Below are 11,483 nucleotides of genomic sequence, written 5' to 3'. Positions count from 1 at the left end.
GATAACACCTCTCTTTTGATTAGTAGGAATGAATGGCTTCTCAGTGCTTTTAAATAAATTCTACAGTAAGGTTCCAACATATCCATAGTGAAGAACTATCATTTAATCTGGCCCAGTCTGCTTCCAGATGTGTTCTGGTAAACACATAGCTTTCTTTTGGTGAATTGCTTATTGCCCCCACTCTAGCCATGAGGCTTTGGCTGTCAATCATGTTCTCTGTGTTCAGAAGGATAGACACGTAACCCAAGCTGAGTCACCTAACTCCTCTCTTTTCATGAAAGTTTTCTCGAATTGAGATTAGGAGAAAAGGGTCCTTTCCTTCCTGGAAGCCAAGCTGAGTACCATGAACCTGGAAGCTGCCAGTGGCCATGGTTTAGCCTTGTACAGCCTAAGAAAATGCAGTGTGCTGGTATCACGTTCTAGCTGTACTTGAGGCTCGTTTTTCCCTTGATCTTCTAGCAGATTGGCTATGTGAACCAATGCATTTCCCATTGGCATTTAGTGTCAGTTGAAATTCCATCATTTGGAGCCAAGTATTCTGACTAATAACACTATCTTTTCACCAGATCACTGTCTTATTTCTTTCCCAAACCCATCCAAGCTGGTCAACCCACTGCTCAATGAAGAAAACACACATCCTTTTTCTTCTTGCCTTTGACCAAGTTGGTCTCCCTACTAGGAATGTTTTCTGTTATGCTCCAAGGCTGTAATTTATTTAAGACTCAACTCAAAGCCTACCTTTTCCATGAAACTCAATTTGTTTGCCATAAGCACAAGCTGGACATCTAAAGTTTAGATTCTAAAGCCTGAAAGTACTGAAATCATCTCATATTATTTCTAATTATTAGGTCATTAATTCTTGCTATGTCTTTCCTTTCTACCAAATTAGAATCAAAATTATGGGCTCAATGAAACCATCAAATCAAATTCTATCATTTTATAGGCAAGAAACCAAAGTCCAGAAGTGAAGAGATAGTTCCAAATCACAAAACCACTTCAGGTAAAATGCATTACAATTTACTTAAAGATACTCACGTCTGACTGATAATAGTGAAGAATGCACTGAAAAGGAAAAGCATGAGCCAGTACCTTAAGTCACTGCAAAATGTCTATGTTGTTAGAAGAGTAGGGGGAAAGACAAAAAATAATTTAAAGAAAGTGCTACAGTTCGTTCAGTGATGAAAAATGAAAGGCCCTAAACATTCCATGATCTGGAAATATTCCTAGGCAGCAAAAGTCTTGGTTTACCTTTAAGAGATTCCCAGAGCAGTAGAAGAACTTGAGGCCCTTGCCAGAGAAGGCAGTGGGATAAGGATGTGGTATTTGGGGACTATTCCAAGTTTCAGTTATAGTTAAGAAACAGAAGGCAGAGATATCCATTTAGGATATAAGAGAATTCGTGCTAGTCATACTGATGGACTAAGAGTCCAGTACAAAGAGGTAACCAGGGATGGGGCGGGGGTGTCTGGAAGGAAACTGCTGGAGCAGAGAGGAGTGGGTCAGGTGAGTTATAAACAAAACTGAGCCAGCAGGTTATGATACAGAGTAAGAAAAGAAATTTGCCCTTTCTCATGAATCAAGGGAGAGACACAGAAATGACTCCATAAAGGAAGTAGAGATGGTAGAGAAAGGATGCAGAGGTCTCCTCACATATAGACCCCGATGGCAAATGTTCTCCTAGTAATTTAATAACCAATCTCCTTTGCAATCTGAAGAGTAATAATAGTTTAGCAAGGCCCTGAAATAGTTATTTCAAATTTCTTTTCATATTATTTTAAAGATGCATATGGGTGAAACTTTGATTTCTTATTCCTTTTTACTTTCCACATCTGATATACCTACTTAGGCCCATTTGCTGAAGTTTCTAGTATGTAGTGAGATAGATTTCTATTAGGATTTCACAGATCTGTTATGTTTGACATGTCTGCCAAATGGAATCTACAATTCCACAGTTTCAAATGTATAATCCCTGAGGAAAAATGACAAATTTATACCATAGATATCAAAATACTAGTACAAAGTTTGTTTCAACAGTGATTGTTATAGAAGAGAAGTAAAAAGAGTAGAAATCAATAACAGACGATGAAGGATAAACAACTAATTACTTTACAACTCTGCCTTAGGTTAAGCCTGAAAACATCCCCACAATCAAATTCTAAACATAGTGAGCAGTCAAATAACTCTCACTTGACTGACTGGTTGGCTGAGAGTCTGGGTGATGGTCTATCTAGTTTACCAAGGACTTGCCCAGGTCTATGCAGGTATATGCAATAGGGAGAGTTTCCCAATCCTTTTAAAATGGTGACATACCTGCTAGCCAACTGGGGCACACCAGAGACGAAAGAAACCACTCAGCCTTCTAATTATGTGCCATCCCCCATTCTCAGTGCTTTACCTTTAAAATAAGAATCACTAATCTAGCATTGGGATTTGGAATCTGGAGGCTGGCTGCTTCCAGACTCATTTCACTCTCAGCACTGCAGCTACCTAATTCTCCCTGTGGGCTCTTTGTGTACATGTCTGTCTTCCTGTCTTGATCATCTTTGCATCCCTGGGTGTGCCTGTCTCCAGCACCTGCCTAAGTTATTTACCAAAGTATATGCTCAGAAAGTGTGGGTTGATACCTGTTTAAATAGGCAGGCCTCATCTTGGGAGTTTTGCATCTCAAGAACCCCTCCTGCTCCGCTTTCATTCTGGTCTCTAACATACCCATAGATATCAAAGAGCTCTCCATTTCCTCTTCTCCAGTATTCACACTGTATCCACTCTCCATTCTATATGCACTGGAAAAATCCCCTTAAAGATGCTCAATCTGTTATTCACAAAACACTATCAAAAGCACAGTGATCATATTTTCCAAACTGAAATATTGGAGCACATATTCTAATCAGTAGAAATTTACTTAGCAGGTAATTGAAAGTAATTTTTGAAAACAGCACTGTTCTTCAAAACCCAAAACATATGGTTGTTGAAACTCAAAGAGGACAAGGAAGATGGTCTGTGTTATGATCCTCCAAGGCCTCAAGCTGTGGCCTGGTCAAACCTATCTCTCTGATCTCCTCTCTTACCTCTTTTTTCCTCCCATGGGCTGCCCCAGCCACATTGACCTCCTTTGGGTCTTTTGAATCAGACCAGCTTGGTTCTGTCTCGGGTGCTTTGCACTGGATTTTCCTTCTCCCTGGGACCCTCTTTCCTAGCTCTTTACAAGGCTTGCCTCTTATTATTCATGTCTCAGTCTAAATGTCACCTTTTCACAAAGGCTTTCCTTAATAGCCAACATCTCCAGTAGCCCCTGGTCCTCAGCAGCTCTCAATTTTATGACTGTTTTTTCTTCCTAGCATTTACTTCTACATGAAAGTATCTGATGTGCTTATAGTCCATCTCCACTTCCACCCTACCCTACAATGCAAGCTTCACAGAGAGAGTCTTTGCTGGTTTGTCCACTCCCGTATCCCAGCACCAAGAAGAGTGCCTGGGACATGGTAGGGGCACAACAAAATTTTATGGAATAAACAGAAGATGGTTCTTTCCCCACATGATACTGTTCTGTTATGTATCTGTGGCTACTGTGCGGCTGAAGATTGTGTGACCTACTCTTACAAGGCTAAATCCATCCAAATATCTGTAGGAAAATGCTATCTCATGGGAAAGAGCAACAGAAGGATCCCAGTTTGGGCTGGGTGGGAAATGGAAATCAGAGTTAGGACTGGAAGAGGATACAGAACAGGGGAAAGAGAGCTCAGTGAAAGAAATCTGGTAAAAAGGGGGCTTTAGGTATAATTTCCTGAATCCTGAAGTTGGACTGTTCCTAGACTCAGCTTTGACACAAACTTACAGTGTGGCCTTGAATCCTTCCTTGCTCTGCTCTGAGCTTCAAATGCCACATCTATGAGTAAGCAAGCTGGAGGTCGCTTCAGACCATTCCAGTGACCATTCTCTGAAAGGGGACACCTAAGAGAGTACATGCTTTCCTAATTATACACAGTATGGGGCTGCAGTGCAGTTGTCCCAGCCTTACTGAACTGAAAAATGAGGTCAATAAGGTACGCCTTTGAGAGTCAGCATTAACAATCAGAGGCCAGATATGTGGAGTTGTCTGAGATGGGAAAAACAAACGCCCAGGCCTGCTTGAGGGTGCAGGACGGGAGGAGGGTGAGGATTGAAAAACTACCTATAAGGTACTATGCTTATTATATGAGTTATTACACCAAACCCTGTGACATGCAATTTACCTATATAAAACACCTGTACATGTACCCCTGAACCTAAAATTAAAAAGTTTTTTTTTGTTTTTTGGGGTTTTTTGAGACGGAGTCTCGCTCTGTCACCCAGGCTGGAGTGCACTGGCACAATCTCTGCTCACTGCAACCTCTGCCTCCCGAGTTCAAGCAACTCTCCTGCCTCCATCTCCCAAGTAGCTGGGACTACAGGTGCCCGCCACCACACCTGGCTAATGTTTGTATTTTTAGTAGAGACGGAGTTTCACTATCTTGGCCAGGCTGGTCTTGAACTCCTGACCTCAGGTGATCCGCCCACCTGGGCCTCCCAAAGTGCTGGAATTACAGGCGTGAGCCACTGCGCCTAGCCATAAGTTTTTAAAAAAAAAAAAAAAAAGACAGGCGAAGTATAATAAGACCATAAGTCACCAGTTTCAACTTGTTAACATGTCTATAGAAAAAAAATGTGTCGACTTGGGGAGGGCAGGGTGTTCTCCAACCTTGGAAAGAAGGAAAGGCCAGAGGCATCAGCTGGTTCCACCCTTCTCCATATGGTCTAGGGGAAGGGCCTTCCTCCTCAGTGTCTCCCTCCCAGTGGAAAGGCTGGCTTCAGTGTGCAGATGAACACAGGGGCTGTAGCTAACAGGCTTTGAGGATTTTCAAGAGTGTAAGAGCAACAGTTTAGAGTCTAGACTCTCACAGCTGGCTTTAAATCCTGACTCTGCCATTTACTAATTACATGACAGGGGCAACTTATTAACTTAGTCCCCTTCTTCACCTGTGAAATGGGAATGACGGTAATAGTAAATATCCTCAAGAATTGCTGGGAGGATTAAGTTAATATGTGTAAAGCATTTAGAATAGGGGCTGTAATTATGATTCCAGTGGCAAAGCCATCTCTGGCTAACATACATGCCTCAGGCTGAATAATTGTCTCCTCTCATTCCGATGCAACTTTCAAAAAGCAACATACTCCTTCCCATGTAGGTTTGCTTACATAGAAAAAAAATGTGCTTATCACAGAGATTCTGAGAAATTCTCATCCCAGAGCCTACAATTTCTTATGGCAAATCGATACATAATCTGTGGTTGTGCCTGGGCCTCCCACATTGCTTGTCCACAGAGGCAAGATGCAGGCATGATGTTGATGCAGGATTTCTGTTCCAGGAGTGGATCTGTTTTGATTTGTAAATCTTCACACTGGCACTCTGGTGCCTATCTCAACCTTAGTGTATCTGGATTTCAACGCAGATACTCAGGCTCTGGTTTCACTGAAGAATGATGCACGTGAGTCCTCAGTCTCTAAAGCAAGGGGCCAGCCTCAGCTGCTTTTCCATCCTGAGAGTGGATGGTGGTACCATCTATATTAGCTCCTTGTCTGATTCTGCACATCACAAAGGGCTGGAGAGCCCCTGAGACTGCCATCCCTGCTCTGGCCATCTTTGCATGAAAGAGTAAAGAGTTTTTGGAAAATGGGTGAGTTAAAAATATACGAAAAGGGAGAGCTACAAGCAGAAGCATTAACCCAGGGCACCCTCTCACCTGCAGTGACTCCGCCTTCTCAAGAAAATGTCCAAATGTTTTCATTTCATTCCTTGACCTGGCTGGGACTCCGCTCTTTAGGGAGTCATCTGAGCCTTTAAGCCTCCTTGATTAAAAGTGTGAGTCATTCTAAAAGACTTAGAGAACTTTCAACGATGATACACATCAATGGGAATGTGTTCAATAAGATTTATTTCCTCTCAACACCTTGCTGGGTTGGGTTTACTTCAGGAATTAACAGAACTGTTGTGGGTTTGTTTTGTGTTGTGTTTGGAGAGAGGGTAGACAGCAGTGGGAAGGGGACGTAACTGAGAAGCATGAAACACCTTGAGTGGACCATGAGACCTGCTTAGAGTTAGGGGAAAGCTTGAGAGGTTCAAGGATAGAAGAACTCAGGGTGGTTCAGGTGTGACATGGGTTATGTGGGCATTTCTGGATTGCTCTGGGAAGGTAAACAATCATTATAATATTGTTACCCTGGTAAAATGCAACTTGAAATCCAAATAACTAACTTGCAAAGCAACTTTTGAAATACAACCCATTCCAACTGAATTCTTAAATGGGGGGCTTCTTATATGGGAACTCAGGAAGAAAGAGAGATCCCCAGGCAGCATTTGGTGTGGCACTGGGAAAACAAAGATAGGTCAAAAGCTTAAAGCATAGAATGAGTTAGAGCTGGAAGAACATTTGTCCCTGGGGTCTGAGGCAGGCATGACCTGTTGAAAACCCCAGGCCAGCAGAGACACCTGTCCAGGGCTCGATAGAAAACATTTCTTGCATTTAAGGACAGGAGGTTTAAGCCACTCGGGCTACGTTGACTCTTCATTCTAGAATCTTGGGACAGCGTATTCCCTTTTAACTCCTGGGGAGCCCAGGGCCTTGGTCTGAGTTTAGCTTCCTCCAGGGAACCCGGGTGGAAAGGAGAGACAGGTAAGAACTCCGCAGAGGCAGCGAAGCCTGGGTTTGAGGAAGCAGAGGGAGGAGACCTGGATCAGTTACAAATGAGTTGTTAAGACCCAGGGACAATTCTACGGGCTGGGTATGAAAGGGAAGTCGGCTCAGGAGGACCGAGTGAGGGCACCGAGGCGGGACGCACGCACCCGGCGAAGGTGCAGTGTGGGCGCCCACGGAGTGGGGGAGCTGGGAAGAAAGGGGGCTGCGGTGGGCTGGAGAGAAGCGGGACGGGGAAGGCGCTCGGGAAGCTGTCCCCGCGGCGTCGTGCGCTCTGGGGACAGAGGAGGGGAGGTCTGGGCGGGCGGGTGGCGTGTGACCGCCGAGGCTGCGGCGGCTGGAACAGGTGAGCGGCCGCTGGGTTGTGGGTCCCCGCCCTTCACCGCCAGCGTGCCTCCTCCCACGGACTCTCTCCAGCGCTGAGCTGCTCCGCGGCTCCCCTTGCTTTGGGGTTTTGCAACTGGCTGCTGGCTTTTTTCCCCTCCCCTGTCTCGGTCTCTCCTTCTTCTTTTAGGTTGCTCCACCCCGGTCAGGATCAGGCGAGGGGGAACCAGCCTGAGTGCAGCTGCCAACTCCCGCCGAGTGCGTCTGCGAACTCCCGGAGCGGAGTCCCGCGTGCCGCCACCTCCCCGCGGGACGCACTCTCCTCGCTCCCCCGGGCCCCGCGTCCTCCCCCCGGCCACCCTTCCCCACTTTTCCCCCCTTTTCCAATCACATGGCATTTTAAGAATGCCGGAAAGATGGCGGTAGCGGCGGCGGCGGCGGCGGCTGGGCCGGCTGGCGCGGGAGGCGGCCGGGCGCAGCGGAGCGGGCTGCTGGAAGTTTTGGTGCGGGATCGCTGGCACAAAGTTCTGGTGAACTTGAGCGAGGACGCCCTGGTTCTGAGCAGCGAGGAGGGCGCTGCGGCGTACAACGGCATCGGGACCGCCACCAATGGCTCGTTCTGCAGGGGCGCCGGGGCTGGGCACCCGGGCGCGGGCGGCGCGCAGCCCCCGGACTCGCCCGCCGGGGTCCGCACCGCTTTCACCGACCTGCCCGAGCAGGTGCCCGAGTCCATCTCGAACCAGAAGCGTGGCGTGAAGGTGCTGAAGCAGGAGCTGGGCGGGCTGGGGATCAGCATCAAGGGGGGCAAGGAGAACAAGATGCCCATCCTCATCAGCAAGATCTTCAAGGGGCTGGCGGCGGACCAGACCCAAGCCCTGTACGTGGGCGACGCCATCCTGTCCGTGAACGGAGCCGACCTGCGGGACGCCACCCACGACGAGGCGGTGCAGGCGTTGAAGCGCGCGGGCAAGGAAGTGCTGCTGGAAGGTAAGGGGTTAACAGCGCGCGGGCCGCGCCGGGCGCGCACACACCTGCTCGGCTTCCCACCCGCACGCTCACACTCACACTCACTCGGCCACATGCGGACACACCCCAGGGGGCCGGGTGTGTGTGTGTTGGGGGGGGGGGAAGGGTGGCGCAGGGGGTGGCAGCATAGAGTTTTGTCAACTTTTACCCACCCTGGGGGCAATTTGTCTCCAGCCCGCAGTCTTTCCAGGCTTTAATCCAGGAGGGGTGTATGGAAAAGCGAGGCTAGCAGGGTTTCCCAGCCGGATTGCCTGCTTAGTATACGTTGTTTCATTTTTATCTGCGGATAATCCTGGTAGAGTGTAGGGACTGGGATATGGAATTGAGAATGAAGGGTGAACTTAGAATATTCCTACATCCAACGTTGCCAAGCAGGGCTACTGCGTAATTGCAACTCATAGTTTTCCGCTTTGGCAAAATTTCCCACTCCAAAGCCTGGGCAGCCCAGCAGAAGAGGGTTGACTCATAAAGGGGTGAGAGAGAGGTGGCAATATTGTGAATGCTAAAACTCCGACTATCCTTCTGGACGTTCCCCCTGCAAATGGGGGACTAGGGTTATGCCTGGAGAGTTATGTCAGGGGCCGGGGAATATGTTGCAGTTTTGGGAAAAATTCGCTCTCCCTGCCGGGCATCTGGCCGGTCAGTCTGGATTCCAGGTTCCTCTGGGTTGAGAGCTGGTGAAGTGATTTTTCTGTCTGCGTTTTCTGGAGCCCTTTCTGAGTGGTGTGGAAACAACTTTGCATTTGTAAACAGTTTCCCCTGCGTGCGAAGAGCCTAGAAACTACTCTCTCTCTTGAGATCTGATGTCCCCAGTCCCCTCATTGTTGAATGTGAATAGAATAGGAACCACCGTTTTGCACTGTTCATGGCTATGTTGAGTTATGTGGGGGAGAAGGGCATATGGTAGTAAACTGAATTCTCCTGTCTGCCTACAGCTGCATTTCTCACTTGTTTCTCTTCTCTTTAGTGCTGTGTACATACCTCTGTCAGCACTAATAACGTGTAATTATTTTATCTATTTACTCAGCCTAGCCTAGCTGTAGATTGCGGTATCTGGAGTCTTTTATTTAGTGGTGAGTCTCTCTTGAGCTTAGTTGCTCCATGACATGCATGCTGAGTAAATGAATAAATGAGCCCGTAGCTATTGAAATAGACTGTTTCAGCTGAGACCTTGTAATATGGTGATTGATTTAAGCCCTAAACTAAGGACTTAAGTCAATTTCCTGCTTACCGAGTCGTGGCACTAGTGTGTGAAACTGAGAAAGTTTAAAGTAAGGGTGCCAGCATCACTAGTGTGTGACAGCTGATGCAACTCCCTGGTATGTCACGGTCCACCTCCTGGCCCACAATGCAGAGAAATCCTCCCCCACCAACCTTGTTTGTCTAGAGGATTTGCGATGTCTTCATAGTCAATTGCCACCCTGGACCCAGAAAGTGGAAAGCTGTTTGCTTTGGCTTGATGATTAACATAACAGAAAAAAAGTTTGCTTGACTCAAGTGTGTGTTGGTTTGTGTGACAAGGGGCAGGTGGGATCTGGGGCAAGTGTTATTTGGACTATAAACTGTTGGGCACCTGCTCGGTTTGCAATACTTACTGTAAATACTGGAGGAGGGGTTGGGGTGGGGCGGAAGGCGGGTCATTTTATTTTAGGTACCATACTTTATAATGTCCCTTCTTTTCTTCCTCTTTTAATGAATAATGACTTGGCAAAGAGGTAAAAAATATCTCTCACCCAAAAAGAGGAAGAAATTTCTCTGCAATTGAAAATAAACTTAGAGAAAGAAAAAAAATCAAGCAGTTATGTGACTTTCTTGAAACAGAAACTGAAAAGTGAGTTTTGTAAAAACCTCTAATATGACATTCTTAGAACACTTTGTGGTTTGTCACAGGCAGGACCTCTGGAGAAACCCTGTGGGTCTCTGAGATATGAACCTTTTTGGCTCAGTGTAGCAGCCTTATCCTCAGCCCAAGTTTTTCAAAATCAGCTGCTAATGAGAGAAGCGGAGGCCCTGCTCAAAACAGCGTCTCTTATTCTGAGCCAAAGTGTTCATTCTCAATGCAATGGTAGTCATCAAATACCATCAAGTCAAATATCACAATCCTCTCTTTTGTAGCTTAGTCTAATACAGGGATTCCCATTTGAGGGGGCTTATTAGGATCACCTCAAGGGCTTTTTAAGAAGACATACCTACTTCTTCGTATTCTGAAATGCAGTGTGGATTCCAGAGTTTCTACATAGGAGAGGCTTTGAAAATGTAATCTGGTTGTATGGCAGGGCAAAGGGAGATGTTTTAAAGGTACATTTATATAGCAAGTGCACCCTTTTTTTTAAAAAAACCTAGATTCCTTTTTGTTTGTTTATTGGGGGAGTAAATGGAGATTAGTTTAGTACTCCAACCACCGCCTGTATGCACCCCACCGCATGACATGCGCCCCCTGGTGGAGAGTTACTACCTCTACAAGTGGAACACCCTGTAAAGTGAAACCCTGGAAAAGTTTCAATGCCTGCATTCTAGGCATAGATTCCGCCACAGAATTAACATAACCTCCCTGAGTCTCAGTGTCTTCATCCGCGAGATGGGAATAAGGAAATCTGCTGGACCTGCTTACTTTACAGGGCTGCTGTATGGAAGAACACAATGAGAATGAAAGGCGTATATCAAATATCCGCTGGAAGTAGTTAGTTTTACAATTCAAATGAAATGAACATGAAACTATCCCTTCTCAAGGACAGTTCTATCTTTTTCCTTTACTGGAGTTTATATTTCTCATTTTTATAACACTTTTTTTGTACTATGGTGTAATGCTGGGAGACCATTCCTGTGAGACCAGAGGAGTTAAACAGAACCTGGAGAAAGAGAATCATAACAATAGCTAACATTTATTGAGCACTTAATATGTGCCAGGCTTTACCTGTTACACTTAACAGTAACTGAGGCCAGTACTGTTGTTATTATTCATTTTCCTGATGAGGAAATTAAAGCTTACAGACATTAAGTTTTTTGCATAAAGTAACATAGTGGCCGGTACGGTAGCTCACGCCTATAATCCCAGCACTTTGGGAAGCTGAGGTGGGCAGATCACAAGGTCAGGAGTTCAAGACCAGCCTGGTCAACATGGTGAAACCCTGTCTTGACTAAAAATACAAAAATTAGCCAGGCATCGTGCCCCATGCCTGTAACCTCAGCTACTGGGGAGGCTGAGGCAGGAGAATCTCTTGAATCCAGAAGGTGTAGGTGGCAGTGAGCTGAGATTGTGCCATTGCACTCCAGCCTGGGCGATAGAGCAAGACTCCATCTCAAAAAAAATAAAAAAATAAAAAATATAAATATAAATAATGTAACATAGCCAGGAGCATTCCAAATCTATCTGATATGAAAGCTTATACTTTTAACCTCTAGGCAATACTGATGCTCTGAGTT

General features: G+C 46.0%; 1 protein-coding gene and 1 long non-coding RNA gene across 3 annotated transcripts in view; one reads left to right on the top strand and one right to left on the bottom strand.

Moving 5' to 3' along the window:
* Positions 1 to 5,934: 5,934 nt before the first annotated feature.
* On the bottom strand, positions 5,935 to 8,010 carry SNTB1-AS1 (SNTB1 antisense RNA 1). Its single transcript, NR_198992.1, has one exon. It is a non-coding gene; the product is annotated as an SNTB1 antisense RNA 1 (long non-coding RNA).
* SNTB1 (syntrophin beta 1) overlaps positions 7,248 to 11,483 on the top strand; it is a 276,291-nt gene continuing 272,055 nt past the window's right edge. For both annotated transcript variants that reach the window (NM_021021.4, XM_011517239.3), the window contains exon 1: positions 7,248 to 8,021. In NM_021021.4, the coding sequence (NP_066301.1) occupies positions 7,451 to 8,021 (571 nt within the window). In that variant the 5' untranslated portion in view covers positions 7,248 to 7,450. The remainder of the gene's footprint in view (positions 8,022 to 11,483) is intronic.

The sequence above is a fragment of the Homo sapiens genome, chromosome 8 (genome assembly GCF_000001405.40).
Source record: "Homo sapiens chromosome 8, GRCh38.p14 Primary Assembly".
Taxonomy (NCBI): Eukaryota; Metazoa; Chordata; class Mammalia; order Primates; family Hominidae; genus Homo; species Homo sapiens.
Note: the sequence above shows the minus strand (reverse complement) of the source record. Positions and strands in the feature narration are given on the sequence as shown.